Source organism: Homo sapiens, chromosome 11, assembly GCF_000001405.40.
Source record: "Homo sapiens chromosome 11, GRCh38.p14 Primary Assembly".
NCBI classification, from domain to species: Eukaryota; Metazoa; Chordata; class Mammalia; order Primates; family Hominidae; genus Homo; species Homo sapiens.
In genome coordinates, this window is record NC_000011.10 from 85,775,373 (window position 1) to 85,796,201 (window position 20,829).

Here is a 20,829-nt window from a genome sequence, read left to right on the forward strand (position 1 = left end):
TTTGTACAATGTTGGGGGTTTACACTGTACTGTAGCACACGTACTCTTCACAACCCTTCTTGGGAGGTAGGTAGAGCGGATAGGAATAAGTATCTTCATAATCCCCCATTTATTTATTTATTTATTTAGAGACAGAGTCCCACTCTATCATCCAGGCTAGAGTACAGTGGCGCTATCTCGGCACACTCCAGCCTCCACCTCCTGGGTTCAAGTGATTCTCCTGCCCCAGCGTCCAGAGCAGCTGGAATTACATGCATGTGCGACCACGCCTGGCTAATTTTTGTATTTTTACTAAGACGGGTTTCACCATGTTGACCAGGCTGATCTTGAACTCCTGACCTCAAGTAATCTGCCCGCCTCAGCCTCCCAAAGTGCTAGGATTACGGGTATAAACCACCATGCCCAGCCCACCCTTTTATTGATATGAAAACTGAGGTTCAGCAAGGTCAAGTGGCTTAGCCAAGATCACACAGGTGTTAAGTGACAGAGCTGAGAACACATTTGTAAAGGAAGAGAAGAACTAAAAGCAATGGGTGCTATGGTTTGGATGTTTATCCCTCCAAATCTCATATTGAAATTTAATCCCAATGATGGAGGTACGGCCTAATGGCAGGTGTTTTGGTGATGGGGGTAGATCCCTCACAAATAGATTAATACTCTCCTTCAGAAGATGAGTGAGTCCTCACTCTATTAGTTCCCTTGAGAGCTGATTGTTTTAAAAAGAGCTACCCAGTTCTCTCACCCTTTGCTTCCTCTCTTGCCAAGTGATCTCTGCACAGCTGGCTCCCCTTCTGCCTTCCTCTAGGAGTGGAAGCAGCTGAAGGTCCTCACCAGATATAGATGCCCAATCTTGAACTTCCCAGCCATCAGAATCATGAGCCAAATAAACCTTTTATTATTATTAAGTTCTGGATTACATGTGCAGAACATGCAGTTTTGTTACATAGGTATACACATGCCATGGTTTGCTGCACCCATCAACCCGTCATCTACATTAGGTATTTCTCCTAATGTTATCCCTCCCCTAGCCTCCCACCGCGCAACAGGCCCCGGTGTGTTATGTTCCCCTCCCTGTGTCCATCTGTTCTCATTGTTCAACTCTCATTTATGAGTGAGAACGTGTGGTGTTTGATTTTCTGATCTTGTGATAGTTTGCTGAGAATGATGGTTTCCAGCTTCATCCATGTCCCTGCAAAGGACATGAACTCATCCCTTTTTTGTGGCTGCATAGTATCCATGCTGTATATGTGCCACATTTTCTTAATCCAGTCTATCACTGATGGACATTTGGGCTGGTTCCAAGTCTTTGCTATTGTGAATAGTGATGCAATAAACATGCGTGTGCATGTGTCTTTATTGTAGAATGACTTATAATCCTTTGGGTATATGCCCAGTAATGGGATTGCTGGGTCAAATGATATTTCTAGTTCTAGATCCTTGAGGAATCACCACAAACCTTTTTTAAAAAATAAATTACCCAGCTTCGGGTATTTCTTTATAGCAACACAAAATGGAGTAAGACAATGGGGTGTATTTAAGTGTCAGCTCTGTGGTTAGAGGGGTAGTGAAGAGATCAGGGCAAAAACCAGGGTGAGGTAAGACTTAACCTGAGCTTTGGACAGGGGGAAAGATTCAGACAAGTCACATGCCAACTCACTGAATTCAATGCAGAAGACAGCATAGTACAGCTTTGGAGAGGGTGGAGTACAGGAAAACAAAAGGACATCTATTTTCCTACATACACAAAAGAGCATTGTCTTTCATTGAAGAAGTGGACATTCTTTAGTCACCTCAGTAATTAGCATGTGTATGCTCTGAGTATTTTTCTTGGTAGCAGAAATGGGTGGCCCCAAGCCCTACTTTTCCCTTGGCAGTAACAGTAAGTATCAGGAAGAGGGCTAACATGGGGTTAAGAACATGTAATCTGTACCACTGAGTGAAGGTGAAAACAACTAATCTTGGCACTCTTGACCATTACCAAAAGTGTCTGAGCTAATTGGCCTTTTAGTCAAGGTATTCCTCTCTGCAGGTGTGACTTATCACATGCCTGTACAGCAAGCCTACCTTCCCAGACTGCATTCATTGCTACCAACACTCAAGAATGTAATTAATGAGCACCCTGAACCTGCTTCTGAGGCACGAAGGGAGAGGAGGGGAATGGCTAGAAAAGATTTCAAGGTGAAGATAAAGCATCAAAATTATAGAAGGGATTATAAAACAGGCCCAGGCTCTGTACACTAAAAGAATGGGATTTAATCCCCCCCCAACCCACACCCCCTGCCAAAAAAAAGAAAAAGAAAAAAAACTACCAAAAAACAGGAATTGGGACTCTGGAATCAGGTAGAGGTCCTTAACAGAGTAGGCTTCAGACACAAGAAGAGTAAAACTTAGGTCATAGGAATCCTAAGGTTTCACTTACCAGAATTACAGGTCTTACTTCTTTTTTTTTTTTTTTTTTTTTTTTTGAGACCGAGTTTTGCTCTTGTTGCCCAGGCTGGAGTGCAATGGCATAATCTCGGCTCACTGCAACCTCTGACTCCCTATTCAAGTGATTCTCCTGCCTCAGCCTCCCGAGTAGATGGGACTACAGGTGCCCACCACCATGCAGGCTACTTTTTGTATTTTTAGTGAAGATGGGGTTTCACCACGTTGGCCAGGCTGGTCTCCAACGCCTGACCTCAGGTGATCTGCCCGCCTCGGCCTCCCAAACTGCTGGGATTACAGGCAGGAACCATCATGCCCGGCCGGTCTTCTTACTAGTGAGACTTTAGTCAACCTGCAGATTCCAATTTATTTTCATCAAGTAACACTTCAAACAATTTCACCAAGGGTTCTGAGATGAAATTCACAGGTGTAATTCATACAATGTAGGTTATGATAAGATTAAACAATCCTCCCTCACCCTTACCCCATCCCCTCACCCCCCAAAGCAATTAGCAAGCAGTGGGGATGGGGTAGAGCCCAGGACTATTTGATAGTGTTACCCAGGAGTGGTTTTGGAGTTTGGACTCGAAGCTGAAAGTGACTTTCTACCAAAGAGAATTTAAACCGTCTTTTCCATCACAACAGTACCCGGTACTAATTGCAGAGTGAATGCAGTGACCAAAGAGAAGCAGAGCTCCCAAGTTAGAAAGCAGAACCAGTTCTAGCATCTTTTCAGCCATTCTGGCATCTTGAGCAACTCAACAGAAGGCAGCAAGACCTGTAGACATGCACCACTGAAGTCTTGAAGACTTATCCTTGAGCAAGTGCCTAACAATGTCTAAGCTTAGTGAAGAGGAGTAGCATAGACACATGCATGCACTATCTATTTAAAATAAGGCTGGGCGTGCAGTGGCTCACACTTGTAATCCCAGCACTTTGGGAGGCTGAGTCAGGCGGATCACTTAAGCTCACAAGTTTGAGACCAGCCTGGGCCACGTGGCAAAACCCTATCTCTACAGAAAATACAAAAATTAGCTAGGTGTAGTGGTGCATGCCAAGTAGTCCCAGCTACTTGAGAGGCTGAGGTGGGAGAATGGCTTGAGACTGGGAGGCAGAGGTTGCGGTGAGAGGAGATTGCCCCACTGCACTCAAGCCTGGGTGATAGAGCCAGACCTTGTCTCAAGAAACAAATACATGAATAAAATAAAAACAAAATATAGAATCTATATATTCTGTAGTGTACTATACTATATATATTATATAACATATACATCTATATACATAAAAACTACTATACATTTAGTTCTCAGTCATTTGCAACCAATTTATGAAATCGTGAAAACCTCTTGACCTATTATTACATAGAAAATTAGGCTCGGTGGCTGCTAAGTGATGATAAAACCAGGATCCTCATCCCCAGGTAGTAAAATAAGGCATCCCTTTGCCATAGAAGAGTGTTCTAACAAGGGTATTTTGGTTCAGATGTGGTTGTTTATTGGGAGGGGGACAGCAGGATTACATGTGAAGTTATTGCTATTGCTATTATTTCTATGAAGAGCCACCAGTCTGGAACACTTACACGGGCTATCTCCCCAAATCCTCAGTCCAACACTGTAAGGAAAGTGTCATTATCATTCCTATTTCACAAAAGAGGAACTGGGTTCAGAGAAGCAGAATAATTTCACCTCCATATGTGCTCTTAATTACTATGTTGTGTATAGATATGTGTATATATGGATATATTATAGATATAAGTTACTATCTACAAACTGACATAATGGAATTTCAAATGTTCATTTCAAAAGCTATAAACATATGGAACAGATAAAACTCATCAAGTGTTTTTTTTTTTCCCTAGCAGAAGTAGGACTTAAAAAAGGTCACACTATCATGGAAAACTGAAAATATTTAGGTAAAACAATCTTCAGTTTCAGAAGAAGAAAAACAGTCATTTTATAAATTTTTAATCAACAAAGATCAATCAGTAAATACTTCCTAAGGACATACTGTGTGAGAAGACTTGTTAGGTACATCTCACTGAAGAGAGGGGCCATGATTTTAGAAAACTGGTGTGTACTAGAGAAAGAACACTGTCCAGGGATTAGGCAAGGTCAACTTTGCTCCCAGCTCAGTCTCTCTCTCTTGCTATGTGATGCTGGGCAAGTCACTTAACCTTCTGAAGCTTCTATCTCCTCATCTGCAAAGTGAGGGAACTAAAAAGGATGATCTCTCACATAGACTCCTTCTGACGATAAAATGCTGTGACTCACACTGGTGAAAGAAGACAATTCAGGCCACAGCAGAATTTGTCTACAATGAACTATGGCCCTATACCTCTTATTGCATTTCAAAGCCCAGAGTAAAACCATCCCAAAGTCTGTAGTCAAGCAAGCAACAGTCATTCTTTCAATAGTGCTTATGCTCATCTAAAGAGTAGGATAATTTTCCACCAAATGAAATGTCTCTCTGTGATATTGTGAAATATCTTTGTTCTCTTTTCCTGGTACATAGCTCCTAAAACCCTTGGAATCTCTGGAGTGATAAGAGTGTCTTTTGTATGCTAAGGTGATAACTGGTGGCTGGCAGCCACTAGGTAGCTTCAGAATGGGGGCTGGTCACAATAAAGACTAAAGCATGATTAAACTTTTCAGTCCAAAGCCCCAGTCTCTGGGGAGAAGAGAGGTCCCTGCCAGCACAAAGGTTAAGCTAATCACTGTGTCCATTGGTTTAATCAGTCACGCCTATGTAACGAAGCTGCCATAAAATCCCAAAGGGATTGGGTTTGAAGAGCTTCTTGTTAGCTGAACACATGGAAGCTCCATGCCCCTTCTCCCATACTTTGCCCTATGCATTTCTTCTATCTGGCTGTTCATCCATATCCTTTGCAATATCCTTTATAATAAACTGGTAAATACAAGTAAAGTTTTTCTCTGAGTTCTGTAACATTCTAGTGAATTAGTCAAACCCAAAAAAAGGAGTAGTGAGAAATCCAATTTACAGTCAGTCAATCAGAAATATAGGTGACAACCTATTACTTGCGATTGGCATCTGAATTAGGGACAGTCTTGTGGGACTGGGCCCTCAGCCTGTGAGATCTGATGCTATCTTCAGTTAGGCAATGTCAGAATTGAATTGAATTAGAGGATACCCAGCTGGTGTTTGCTGTAGAACTGATTGCTTGCTTGGTATGTGTGGGGAAAACCCCTGCACATCTGGGGTACAGAAGTGTTCTGCGCTGTGGTGAGTAGAGAATAGGAAGAACACTGCAGTAGTCCATTCCAATGCTGCTAATGAAGACATACCTAAGACTGGGTAATTTATAAAGGAAAGAGGTTTAATTGACTCAAAGTTCAGCATGGCTGGGGAGGCCTCAGGAAACTTACAATCATGACAGAAGGGGAAGCAAACACATCCTTCTTCACATGGTAGCAGCAAGGAGAAGTGCTAAGCAAAAGGGGAAAAAGCCCCTTATAAAACCATCAGATCTTGTAAGAACTGACTCACTGTCACTAGAACAGCGGCATGGGGGTAATCACCCCCATGATTCAATTACCTCCCACCAAGTCCCTCCCACAGCACACAGGGATTATGAGAACTACAATTCAAGATGAGATTAGGGTGGGGACACAGCCAAACCATATCATTCTGCCCTGGCCCCTCCAAAATCTCATGTCCTCACATTTCAAAACCAGTTATGCCCTCCCAACAGTCCCACAAATTCTTAACTCATTTCAGCATTAACTCAGAAGCCCACAGTTCAAAGACTCATCTGAGACAAACCAAGTCCCTTATACTTATGAGCCTGTAAAATCAAAAGGAAGTTAATTACTTCCTGGATACAATGAGGGTACAGGCATTGGGTAAATACACCCATTCTAAATGGGAAAAGTTGGCAGAAATGAAGGGGCAACAGGCCCCAGGCAAGTCCAAAATCCAGTAGGGCAGTCAAATCTTAAAGCTCCAAAATGATCTCCTTTGAGATCTCCATGTCTCATATCTAGGTCATGCTGATGCAAAAGGTTGGCTCCCACAGCCTTGCGCAACTCCACCCCTGTGGCTTTGTAGGATACAGCACCCCCTCCCAACTGCTTTCACAGGCTGGCATTGAGTGTCTACAGCTTTTCCAGGCACACAGTGCAAGTGTTGGTGGATCTACCATTCTGGGGTCTGGAGGATAGTAGCCCTCTTCTCACAGCTCCACTAGGCAGTGCCCCAGTGGGGACTGGGTGTGGGGTCTCCAACCCCACAGTTCCCTTCTGCACTGCCCTAGCAGAGGTTCTCCATGAGAGTCCCACCCCTGCAGAAAACTTCTGCCTAGACATCAGGCATTTCCACACATCCTCTGAAATCTAGGTGGACGTTCCCAAACGTCAATTCTTGACTTCTGTGCACTGGTAGGCTCAAAACCATGTGGAAGCTGCCAAGGCTTGGGGCTTACAACCTCTGAAGTAACAACTTGAGCTGTACCTTGGTCTCTTTAAGCCATGGCTGGAGTAGCTGGGATGGAGGGCACCAACAAGTCCTAGAGGCTGCACACAGCAGGGGGGCCCTGGACCCAGCCCAGGAAACCATTTTCCCTTCCTAGGCCTCCAGACCTGTGATGGGTGGGGGGGCTGCTGTGAAGGTCTCTGACATGCCCTGGAGACATTTTCCCCATTGTCTTGCTGATTAACATTTGGTTCCTCATTACTTATGCAAATGTATGCAGCCAGCTTGAATTTCTCTCCAGAAAATGGTTTTTTCTTTTCTGTCACACAGTCAGGCTGCAAATTCTCCAAACTTTTATGCTCTGCTTCTTTTTTAAACGTAAGTTCCAATTCCAAACCATATCTTTGTGAATACATAAAACTGAATGCTTTTAACAGCATTCAGGTCACATCTTGAACACTTTACCGCTTAGAAATTTCTTCTTACAGATATCCTAATCATCTCTCTCAAGTTCAAAGTTTCATCTCTCTCTAGTTCAAATCTCTAAGACAGGGGCAAAATGCCACCAGTCTCTTTACCAAAGCATGATGAGCTTTGCTCCAGTTCCCAACAAGTTCTTCATCTCCATCTGAGACCACCTCAATCTGGACTTCGTTGTCCACATCAATATCAGCATTTTGGTCAAAACCATTCAACAAGTCTCTAGGAAGTTCCAAACTTTCTCACATTTTCCTTTCTTCTTCAGAGCCCTCCAAACTGTTCCAACCTCTGTCTGTTACACAGTTCCAAAGCCGCTTCCACATTTTTGGATATCTTTACAGCAGCAACCCACTCCCAGTACCAAATCACTGTATTAGTCCATTCTTATGCTGCTAATAAAGACATACCCGAGACTGGGTAACTTATAAAGGAAAAAGGTTTAATGGACTTACAGTTCCATGTGGCTGGGGAGGCCTCGGGAAACTTACGATCATGACAGAAGGGGAAGCAAACATGTCCTTTTTTACATGGTGGCAGCAAGGAGAAGTGCCAAGCAAAAGGGGGAAAGCCCCTTATAAAGCCATCAGATCTCGTGAGAACTCACTCACTATCACTAGAATAGCAGCATAGAGGTAACCACCCCCATGATTCAATTACCTCCCATCAAGTCCCTCCCACAACAGGTGGGGATTATGGGAACTACAATTCAAGATGATATTTCGGTGGGGACATAGCCAAACCATATAAAACACTTTGATTTTTATATATAGAACTCTGGTTCTTCATATATCCTAACACCCTTGTTCTTGATGGTATATAGCAAACTAGGCAAAAATAGTTAATATTAGTTAATAAAAACAATAAGACTATCAAAGTCTTACATAACAGAATATTCTAGGCACGGTTTTAAGTACCTTACATATATTAACTCATTAATTTCTCACAGCAACATGAAGTAAGCATTCTACAGATAAGAAAACAGGTTTAGAGAGGCCAAGTAACTGCTCATTACTCAGTTAACTGCTAGTAATGGCAGCACAACTCCAGCCAGATTGTCCAATTCCAGTGTCCATGCTCTGTGCTTCCACCCCATGCTGCCTTCTTGGACAGAAGTGTCACAAAGCACAGAATCATTCTCCAGGTGGCTTGGGTTGTACATTTTTCAGTCCTTGGCTCTTCTTGCTCCTTTCTCTATGATCCCTGCACACTCTGTGGCCTGGCTCATTTTCTGATCTCTGGCTCAGATTCTGGCCACAGATTTCCTCAGACTGGACTTCCCCAGGCAGCCCAGGAAGAGGAGGTCTTTACCTATCTGATGGGCATTACTTGGCCACAACAACCACGTGCCATGTGCCCATGGCAGGCTTCCTAGTATGACCCAGAACAGAGTCCTGAAATCAACCTTCACAAGGTAACTGGAAATTCATCTTTCTTAAACCTGGCAGAACCCTCACCTTTCTAGAGACCCTGACAGAGGAGAAAAGCAGCATTTCCCCCAGGAAAGACATTCAGTGAATTCAGCTGAGACTATGCTTTGCAATATTTAATGACAGAGACGGTGCAATGCAATGGTTTGAAAACAGAGCTTTCTAGGCTATGAACCACTAACGCCTCAAATTCCTTCTGCTGTATTCTCCCATTAGGAAACCAAAGCCACCAAAATAGAAAAAAAAAAAATTATGGTAAACCTCATTAATGTCTTGCAAAAAAGAATAAGTAAAATAACAGAGATGTGAAGAAAAAAAATCCCATCTAAAGATATGATATTCTCTGTCTTACTGGTTTTCTTCCTTCCATCTTAGATAGAAGAGAAGAAGAAAAACAAGTGGAAGTAAACATCAAAGGAGATCAAGGAGAATAGTAAGGCTGAATTGCTTTACTTCAAATTCAGGGTCCATAATTATATTATTCTCTAACATAATGGCTTTCAAATGCCACTACTATTTAGGCTGAGATACAAGGGAAATAAATGATATCATCATGCAGCTTAACTTTATTACATGTTCGTTTTATTAAATCTATGCACATTAGAAGCATAGGAAATTGCCAGCCTTTAACATTCACACACACGCAAAGAATTATACAAAAAATACATCATCTTGAATCCTGGTCTTCAATTTCTTTCCACAATTCCACAGAGCTGGTAAGGGGTAAAGAAAAAAAAATGTTCCTATCATTGAGATTTATAAACTGATTTCTTTCATCCTCGGAATCACTAGTTACTCACACCACAGCCTGTGGCTGCCGGCAGCAACACATCAGCACTTGCATGTATTTAATGCGGTATCTTCTTATTTGGGTATTATTTCTCATTAAACCAATCAGAAGAGGCTTCAAGGTAGAGAGGGAGAAGTGGGAGGTGAGAAAGGGGAAATTTGAGCCAAGAGAAATGCCACACCCATTCCACATGGAAACCACAACCATGTATGGTCGCTGAGTGAAAAGGACTTGAGTGCCCAGCTAAGAGCTGGAAGGCAAAACACCAATGAGGTCCCCTCTGTGGAATTCAGTCTTTCACCTCAGGATAAAGGTTTTTGTAATTCTCAACAAAACTAAAATGAAAAGACATTAACTAAATACCAAAATGGATAGGACAGAGTTTCAGGATGAGCTCAAGCAAGCAACACAGCTGGACCCAGGACAGCCAGAAATGAACCCCCGTCAGGTACGGAAAACAGAAGGAAAAGTGGGATTTTGCCTTTTCCCTTAACTATTATTCAGAAAGTGTTTACTATCTTCCTAAAAGTAAAAATCCTTGTCTAACAGTTTTATAAAAAGAAAAACAGATCTTAAAACAATTGTTGCAGAAACTTCTTCCATTTCTGTTTCTAAAATAATTCAAAACACTAATTTTTAAGATTTTTAATGAGAATTTGAATCATCATGAAATCTTACAGAAAATATGAGTTGGCTCAGGAGAATTAAAGAAGGTATACTCCCCAAGTTTTAACTCTCAAGGTCAATCAGAGTCCGCAGGAGCTTAAATGAGGCTCATGGTCTGGACTGGCTGTTTTCCTCCAAAGAAGCTACATATTAAGATGTATGAAGCCTGAGAGTCAACAGATTTTCACTCATCTATTTCTCAGTAGAATGTAAGTAGCACAATGCCTAGCTCAAAAAATACCTGTTGAATGAGTGCTAAATGAAAGAATAAAATATTCCCAAGGAAGGAATGACAGTGACTTCCACTTCACGCTCTGCCTAAGGTTAGACCTGACTATGTTACATAATACTATGTTTAAAAAAGTCCTGTTCATTCCAGCTTTATTTGTAATAGCCAAAAATTAGAAATAACCCCAGTGCTCTTCAACAGGTGAATGGTTAAACAAACTCTGGTACATCCATACCGTGGGATACTACTAAGCAACAAAAAGGAAAAACTCTTGATAGACACAACTTGGATGAATCTCAAGGGAATTGTGCTAAATATAAAAAGGCCAATCCTAAAAGGCCACTACTGCATGGTTCTGTTTATATGACACTCTTGAAATGGCAAAATTATAGAAATGAAGAACAGATTAGTGGTTGATAGGGGTTAGGGATGGGGGCTGTGGAGGCTGTAGGGAGGTGGGTGTGATTATCAAAGAACAAATGGAAAGAATCTGTGGTGGTGTAACTGGTCAGTATCTGGCCAGTGATGGTTGACACATGTGATAAAATTGTATACAACTTAATACACACAGGCCCATATGCACACACACATTAGTAAACTGGAAAAAGTCTATGCCAATATCTGAGTTGTGATATACTATAGTTGTACAAAATGTTACCATAGGGGAAACTGGGTAAAGGGTACACGGATCTCTGCACTATTTCTTACAGCCTCATGTGATCTACAATTGTCTCAAAATAAAAAGATTAATTTAAAAACATTCTGAAGCGACCTCTCCTCTGCTACCATCAGCACTACCAGTTTGAGAGTGTGTGTATGTGTGTGCATGGCAGGTCGAGAGAGGGGGCATCAACACATAAAACTTAACCACCTCCACAGAGCTCTCTATGGGGAGTTTAGAGGCATCTCTAACTTCCTTTAAACTTCCAATGCACCAATTGTTTTTCACACAACCTAAATTTTGCTCTTATATTAAAAACAAATATTTCAGGACTCTTATCTCCATATCTGGGATAAAAGGTCATGAAGTAAGCATTCTTACTTACCATGAGAGCCCATGTTTTATACCTGTTTGATACCCTCTCAGTGCCTAGCACAATGCTCAACCCAGAGTAGAGCCTGAATAAAAGTGCTTTTAATAAATGGATAAGCAAATGAATGGATGGATGAACTTTCTCATCATAGTAGAACCAGATAAGCTGAAAATTCACAATGTTTTTGCTCCAATTTTCTCAACTTCAAAAGGTCAGCAATAGGTGTGCCCACCTGCCTCACAGGCCTGGGGAGAGGATCCGAGCCTGCTGTAGTAGCAAGTGCATACATAGCTTTGTTTAGAGATCTGCCCTAATTATTTCTTGTGTGTTCTTGTGCCAGCTTATTTCTCTGAACCTGCGATTTCCCATTTGTAAAATGTGGGATAATATTTATTTCTGCAAGGCTGCTATGTGAAGGAGACATGGTGTTCATAAAAGGCCTTGCTCAATGTCACCCTCACTAGATGATCACTAAATGTTTTCACCCTTCCATAGATACTTCCAGGAACTAGTGCTCACCTCATAGCTCAAAATAGCAGCCATTTCTTAGTAACTTTATGGTTTTTTATAAATAAGTAACCAGTGTTGTATTCATGTAGCATCTTCCTCTAAAGATCAAACTTTGCTTACATTTCCAGTGGCAAAGTAGTGTGGACAAAGTAAATGTAGATAGAGGATGGAGTAAATGGGAAGAGACAAGTTCAAGTGGAAGATGACAAGGGCATTTGTGGGTAGCTGTTAGGACTGTACCGCAAGTCCTCTCCCACTACATCACTTCAGAAAGCAACTTGTCTTGGGCTTGGTCTCCTCCCCAATGGTTTATTTCTTTTTTCTGTTTTTTTTTCTTTTCCTTTTTTTTTTTTTTTTTTGTATTTTTATGGTATTTAGTATATTCATACCCAAGGCAGCCTAGATAATGGAGGAAGACACCTGAAAAGTCTACTGGCCTCTAAGAATGGTGGGCTAGAGGTATGGAAAGGAAGGAGAAGGGGCCTCTGTTTATTTTCTCTGCTGTGAAAGCTACTTGTACTCAGGAAATATCTACTGCTTCCTTCTCAGGGCTGGGAATGCCCTAGTCTGTTCTTACCCAAGGGTGGTAACTTTTCCTCCAAGTGTGCAGCTGTCTGAAAATATATTTGCTCTTGATGTGTCACCGGGTCATGAGTAGTTATCTGAGAAATACTTTACACATGGGTGTCTCCTGAGCCCAGGCAGTGGAGATATTTGCTTACCCATGGGGCAGGGAAGGACAAACAGGGGATATGGTTCCAGGGTCCAGTTTTTAAAGACTATGCTAATTCAGTCAGTTTGTCAACTGCATTTTGAACCCTAACTATGTGCCTGGCCTCTGATGAAAATGAGAAGGACTTTTTCTAAGGTAATAATGATACTGAGAGAGGTGACATTTTTTATTAGTTACTAAATGCCATGTCTTCTTCTTAAGACTTTGCACGCTTTATCTTATTCAGTCTTCGCAACAAGTTTGTGAGATGAGTCATATTATTAACCTCCTTTTAGGTAAGAAAATGGGGTACAGAAACAGTAAGTTGCAGAGTTAGTGTCAGATCCCAAAGATAAGGGAAGTAAATAGCATGTTTTCTATTAGTTGAACCAATTGCTTATAAATATGTTGTGAAGCTGTGAAATATACACAAGTTGTGAAAAAGACACCATGCAAAAGTCTGGAAACTTGCCAAAGTAATCACATCACCTTTAATAATGAGTGTGGAAATGTACCTTCTGGGTTCCAGAGACCCTTAGTTCATCCAGGTTTCTAAGGCATCCATTACATCATAGTAAAATAGCTAACATTCCTTTTCCCTTCCTCTTTGTCAATAGCTGCTCTGACCTTAATTATCTGTAGAAGGCCTCTAGGATGAGATTTTTGACAATATGCATTACAAGTAAAATTATTCTATAATTATAAAAAAAAAAGAAAGGAAATGAGAAGGAATCATCCATGACTGAGACACAGAATGTCCCCTCCCTTTATAGAGCTCATGGTCTCATTCTGCATACTCACATTTGGTTGCTTTACTTCTATCATAATAATCTTGTGTGGCACACAGCACATGTGTCAAAGCAACGGTCTCAAAAATAGAATATCATTCCACACATGTTCCCTATAACAAGCAGAAGAATATGAAATAGAGATAATATAAAGATATGTCCCTGTTAGACAACAAAGGTTTGGCATATCTTGCAAACCTCAAAAAGATGAATGTTCTTTCCAGAAAAATTACACATTTTATTTATTTATATATTTATTTATCATTTTGAGATAGGGTCTCACTCTGTTGCCCAGGCACAATCCTAGCTCACTGCAGCCTCGACCTCCTGGGCTCAAGCAATCCTCCCATCTCAGCCTCCTGAGTAGCTGGGACTACAGGCACACACCACCATACCTGGCTGATGTATGTGTGTGTGTGTGTATATATATATATATTTATTTATTTATATGATGTGTGTGTGTATGTGTGTGTGTGTGTGTATATATATATATATATATATATATATATATATATATGTATATATATATATATATATATAATTTTTTTTTTTTTTGTAGAGACAAAGTCTCCCTATCTTGCACAGGCTGGTTTTGAACTCCTGGGCTCAAGCAAGCCTCTCACCTTGGCCTCCCAAAGTGTTGGGATTACATGTATCTTCCACCGCCCCTGGCCAAATTATACATTTTGAAAGCCTTATCAGTTTTATTCTCTTCCTTTTTGATACAATTAACAATAGCATATACTTATTAGGTACTTACTATGTGCCAGGTACTATACTAAGCCCTTCAAAGAATCATCTCAATCTTTTAAACAATCTTATGAGTGATGCACATAATATTATTCCTATTCTATTGATGAGGAAACTTCAGCTTAGAAAGAACAAGGGATGTAAACCCAGGATCAACAGATTCCGAACAAATGTGGATCTCTACATTAAGCTGTAATATTATATGCTTGCTTGGTTTAGAGAGAAGGCCAAAGTTATGATTTCTATTATTGAAATAAGAATGTATACAGTATAGATCCTTCAAAACATATTAGGGTGAACCAGTATTAAATTGCCAATACCGGTTGAGTATCCCTTATCCAAAATGCTTGGGATCAGAACTGTTTGGGATTTTTGGATTTTTTTTCAGATTTTGGAATATTTGCATATATATAAGATATCTTGGGGATGAGACCCAAGACTAAACCCAGATTCGTTTGTCTCATATACACCTTATACACACAGCCTGAAGGTAATTTTTTATAATATTTTTAATACTTTTGTGCATAGAACAAAGTTTGTGTACACTGAATCATCAGAAAGTGAAGATGCCAGGTGTGGAATTTTCCACTTGTAGGGTCATGTCAGGGCTCAAAATGTTTAGGTTTTGGAACATTTTGGATTTCAGATTAGAGATGCTCAACCTGTATACAACTGTTTTGACCTACAGAAATAGCAATTTCACTTGGTTCAACCTAATATAATATCAAGAGACAGAATGACCTAAGCCTATCCCAAGCACAACCCCTGACTAGCTGTATGAATTTTAACAAGTCACTTAACATTTCTAGACTTCACTTGCTTTACTGCATAATATAAAGCATAACTATAAAAGTTAGACTGGATTTGTCTTTAGGTTCCCCAGCTCCATAATTATAAGAGAAGAGGTGAGGAGAAGTATAATTTATTTGTTCAACAATTATTTATTAAGTACCTACAATGTGCCCAACCCTGTGCCTTCTCTCCCATTCCAGGTTCACCTGTATTTCAAAGACAGGCTCCCAGTAGCTTCCCATGATTCCAGGGATTCTACATGTTAGAAATAAAGAACAAACTTGAAGATTCTCGCTTGTCTGTTCAGGATAACTGGGATGTGCCCTATGGTGCTGGCAGGTCCTCCCAGATCACAATTCCACAGCAGAAGAGATAAACATAGGACCTGGAAACCACTTTAATGTGAAGAGATGAAATGCAGCAGAAGAAATGTTCATGTGAACAAATGTGTATCTTCCAATAAAAAAGAAATATCAGTAGGCTGGGCGTGGTGGCTCATGTCTGTAATCCCAACATTTTGGGAGGCTGAGGCAGGTAGATCACCTGGGGTCAGGAGTTTGAGACCAGCTTGACCAACACAGTGAAACCTCGTTTCTACTAAAAATACAAAAAAAATTAGCCGGGCATGGTGATGCACACCTGTAATCCCGGCTACTTGGGAGGCGGAGGCAGGAAAATTGCTTGAACCCCAGAGACGGAGGTTGCAATGAGCCAAGATCACGCCACTGCACTCCAGCCTGGGCAGCAGAGCTAGAGTCTGCCTCAAAAAAAAAAAAAAAAAAAAAAAAAAAAACAACCTTAGTAAATATTCTGGCTCACAGAAAATATCTTACTTTACTTGTACCTCCCAGGAAGACAATGATTTAGACTTTTAACTTAAAAATATACAAAATTCCACAAAGAAAGAGCCCTCACTCAGCTTTGCTGGGTACAGCACCTTAGCAACTAGCCACAATCTTTGCAATGATTAAGGATTGGGAGTAGAGAGATACAGAAAAACATTAAACAGCAAGTTCAAAGACACCAATTCAATACCTAGCTATGTGACTCACTAGCTTTGTGAGCCTGGACTTAACATTCAGCCAGCCTCAGCCTCAGTATCTCATCCATATAATGAGGATTGGGATGATGAACTCTAAACATCTTTCCTGTTCTAAAGGTCAACCAGTTCCTTATCATCTAAGTTTTTACCATCTAACTGCCATCTGTTCCCTTTTGTACTACTATCCATTGTGAACACAGCAAACAGTTGTTTTCCAATGTGCCTGCAATAGCTCTTCAAATACGTACCTGAAGACTCTTTTGACTCCCTCTCTTCTAACATAAGTCAATGGCCCAGATGGAGTCATGTGGTTAGCAAGATGTTTGGAATAACTCATGTGGAGTCATATGTCTAAACTTGGAGCCATAAGGAAGGGAATACATGCAGCAAAGAGCTGCTTGCTTTCTCAACATCTTGTAACTGAGAAAGGCCCATAACTCCCAATCTCATTTCCTGGGAATTCTACCAGCAGCTGCGATAGGATTACAAAAGTTGCAAGAGAAAGGGATTAATAACCTTGATGAGCTGACCATCTAGCTGAGAAAACTGAACCTATAGAAAGTATATAACTGGCGAATTGTATAGAACAGATTATTACTACATACAAAATTTGGGGATGTACCCAGTAAGAGTCACAGGAAGTTAGACAAAAAAAATGGTTAGATGAGGGGTATAGTCTGCTCCAGGGAAAGCCTATTGCTCTGTAGGAGGTCAGACTTTGAATCACTGAAGAGGACATGACTTACTTGGGAAACCATGACACCAACCCAGCCTCTAGTGGGTGGTGATCTTCAAATTAGGGGTGACTTGGGGCTCTGCCAATAGAGTTCTCTCAAACCCACCCTAACGGGGTAGTTAAGAATAGACTATCTGACAGGGCAGTGGAGGCAATTGCAAGCCAAATGTCACTTGGCTTTTCTATGTTCTAAGTCAAGGATGTTCATTTCTCTCTTAACTTGTAGATTAACTTTGGAGCCCATTTAATGAAAACCATCTCTGAATGGGGGACCTATGAAATGTGTCACTCTGAAGTTGCAGAAAGTTATTTTTTCTTCTTCAAACAAGCACTCCTTGGAAACAATAAACCAGTAAGTAAAAATAATTCCACAAAAGAAATCACAGAAGCAAATGATTAATAAATACCACCCCCACCTAAGATTCTTAGTTTCAGAGCTTTTTTTTTTAATTTTATTATTATTATACTTTAAGTTTTAGGGTACATGTGCACAATGTGCAGGTTAGTTACATATGTATACATGTGCCATGCTGGTGTGCTGCACCCATTAACTCGTCATTTAGCATTAGGTAGATCTCCTAAAGCTATCCCTCCCCGCTCCCCACACCCCACAACAGTCCCCAGAGTGTGATGATCCCCTTCCTGTGTCCATGTGTTCTCACTGTTCAATTCCCACCTATGAGTGAGAACATGCAGTGTTTGGGTTTTTGTTCTTGCGATAGTTTACTGAGAATGATGATTTCCAATTTCATCCATGTCCCTACAAAGGACATGAACTCATCATTTTTTATGGCTGCATAGTATTCCATGGTGTATATGTGCCACATTTTCTTAATCCAGTCTATCATTGTTGAACATTTGGGTTGGTTCCAAGTCTTTGCTATCGTGAATAGTGCCGCAATAAACATACGTGTGCATGTGTCTTTATAGCAGCATGATTTATAGTCCTTTGGGTATATACCCAGTAATGGGATGGCTGGGTCAAATGGTATTTCTAGTTCTAGATCCCTGAGGAATCGCCACACTGACTTCCACAATGGTTGAACTAGTTTACAGTCCCACCAACAGTGTAGAAGTGTTCCTATTTCTCCACATCCTCTCCAGCACCTGTTGTTTCCTGACTTTTTAATGATTGCCATTCTAACTGGTGTGAGATGGTATCTCATTGTAGTTTTGATTTGCATTTCTCTGACAGCCAGTGATGGTGAGCATAGTTTCAGAGCTTTTATCATGTCTTCTTTATTTCAAAATACAAATACCTTTAAGGAAGGAAATAATTTGAGAACTCTTATCATAATATTTTATGTTTTAAAGATGAACAGTTTTCTTTTTCCTGTTCAGGGACTTTGAATTTAAAAATTTCTCAAAGAGGCAGACAGGGAGAAAAGTTTCAGCCACCTCAAACTCTGATAACATCCATGAAATTTAATTTGAGATATCTCATAACCAATATTTTATAACCTGTCCTTAAAAATGAAGGACATGCTCTCAACACTTCCTGTCATGGAAATTGTTCCAACAGACAAAGAAATAGGCATATCCATGGTTAAAATCTCACAGCTGTCACATTATTTAGTTCTGCACAAATGAAAAATCCTATTACCCAAAAAAGGTTGGAGAATCTGTAGCTTTAATTTGGCAAGCAATTGCATTTCCACATTGTTTTAGTCATATCTTCCCTCATACAGATATGAACCCTGGAAAATATTTAATTAAATATAACTATGTGGTATGAAAAATAAGTCAAAAAAAGAAGTTAATGCTTTGCCATCTTTAATGCTGTTATGCAATTCATTAGAGAAAAGAGCACACAATCCCTCAATCCCCATCCTCCAAAGATTCAAAAGAGCAGATTCAGTTTTTTTTTCTTGTAGAGACAGGGTCTCACTATGCTGCCCAGGCTGGTCTTGAACTCCTGGGCTCAAGCAACTCTCCCACCTCAGCCTCCCAAAGTGCCAGGATTACAGGCATAAGCCACCTTGCCTGGCCAGATTTAAATTTTTTTTTCTTTTTTTAGAGACAGGGCCTCTTTCTGTCACCCAGGCTGAAGTGCAACAGCACAGTTATGGCTCACTGTAACTTCAAACTCCTGGGTTTAAGCAATCCTCCTGCCTCAGCCTCCCAAGTAGCTGAGACTAGAGGCACATGCCATTACATCCAGCTAATTTTTAAATTTTTTTTCTAGAGACAGGTTCTCCCTATGTTTCCAGGGTGTCTCAAACCTCAGGCCTCAAGTGATCCTCACACCTCAGCCTCCCAAAGTGCTGGGATTACAGTCACGAGCCACCACGCCCAGCCAGTTTTAAATTTTAAAGGACAACAGAACAAATAACAAAACCTCCCACTTTCTCAAGGTCACAAAAGAGACTTTCATATCACCAAACTCAAAAGAATCCAGATTCTCAAATGGGCATCACATCTCTCCATGAATTATCCCTTGGTGAGGAAACTTGCATTTATCAAGACTTTTCTACTTGCTTGGGCTTGATTTCTGCTATTTGTCTGGTATTTGAAGGGAGGAAAAAAAATCATTATATTGCTGGGGACGTACAGGAAGTAAGTCTCAAACATGAAATTGAATTTGTATTTCTTTCTGAAAAGAAAAGTTCATTTGAGGTTTATACAGAAGTAAAAGAAAAGCAGAATTTCCAGGAATTGCTCCAGGAATTCATGGAAAGTAGATCCCTTCATCATTTTTTTCTAATAAAGAAAACCAAGAAAAAACAATAAAGAGATGGTCTTTCAAAATGCCTAGCTTCCCATTCCTTTACAATATCACTAAGGAGAGGTTAAGTGGCTGTACTTCGGTCTCCACATTTACATTTCAGAAGTATTGCCCACTGTGTGGCCTTGGGCAAGTTACTTAGCTTCCTCACTGGTAAAATATCTACTTAAAATTGTGTTATAAGGATTACATGCACTTGTATGTATAAAAGACTTAGTCTAGCATGAGTCCATAGTGAACCTTGTATTAGCTGTAATACTTATATTAGCTAATATAAGTATTAGCTGTTATTATTACTACCACCACCGCTAAGTTTATTTTCAGCCCCCCAAATAAAGTCACATCCCCCCAAGGAATAATGCTTGCATTTTATTTTCTGAAATGATGATGGCCTGGCTCCAGGCTCACCATCAGATCTAAAAAAAAACTGAACCCTCTCAGCCAGAGCACACTAATGTGAACTGGGGTCTGGGCTGCTCTGTGATTTGGGCAGCAGAAAAGGCCAGATACTTACGCCCAGTAGCCTGAGTTGCACTCATTTAACAAATGTTAATTGTATCCCTAGTCTGTGCCAGGCAGTGTACCAAAAATTTATTTGTTCATGATCAGCACTTTCACTGTATTTTCTAGAGCCCAAGGCCGTGTTTTTTGTTTTTTACTATAATGTGCTGCTTATGTTAAAAAAAGAAAAAGTTACATAGGAAACATTTTCCAGGATGAAACTAACAAGAATAGTAAAAGCCACTCCAAACCATCTATTTCTATCTTCTTCCTTATATTTCTACAATATAAAAATTTTCACCTTTTTAAATTTGATAAAGCAGATTATTCCCAGATGAGTTTTTGCCAAATATCTGCAAGAAAGGATGACTTCAGGTGAGCTGGCTCTGAAATCAGCAAACTGACAGAGCAGGCCACAACTCCCCTTCCCTCATATCTACCAAACTGCAAATAGTGCTGGGAAGGCTGCCACTCTGGAAATCCCAAAGGACTCAGGAAAGGTGACACACAAGCACAGAGCATACACATAAGCCATCATCACCAGGGGAATCTCCTGCTGTAAAAACTCTGAGTAGGCACCAGAAGCTTAAACTTCTTCATAGAAGAGCCTTAACATTCACTGAGGCTCAGGTTAGATTTAACCACTTACATAAGAACTGATCTAATGATTATTATTTTATGAAGTTGCATCATTGTGTTCAGGCAGCACAGGGAAGAAAAAGAGCACTGACTTGGGAGTCGGGCTTGAGCTTGAATTCCAGGGCTACCCCTTAAAAGCTGTGAGACTCTGGGCAA

General features: G+C 40.5%; 1 protein-coding gene across 57 annotated transcripts in view; it reads right to left on the minus strand.

Moving 5' to 3' along the window:
- SYTL2 (synaptotagmin like 2) overlaps nt 1-20,829 on the minus strand; it is a 160,642-nt gene that overhangs the window by 81,144 nt on the left and 58,669 nt on the right. Inside the window, exon 2 of one of the 57 annotated variants that reach the window (NM_001394449.1) lies at nt 13,502-13,601. The exons of the other annotated variants lie outside the window; for them this stretch is intronic. The gene's annotated coding sequence lies outside the window, so the exon portion shown is untranslated. The remainder of the gene's footprint in view (nt 1-13,501; nt 13,602-20,829) is intronic. 57 annotated transcript variants of the gene reach the window in all.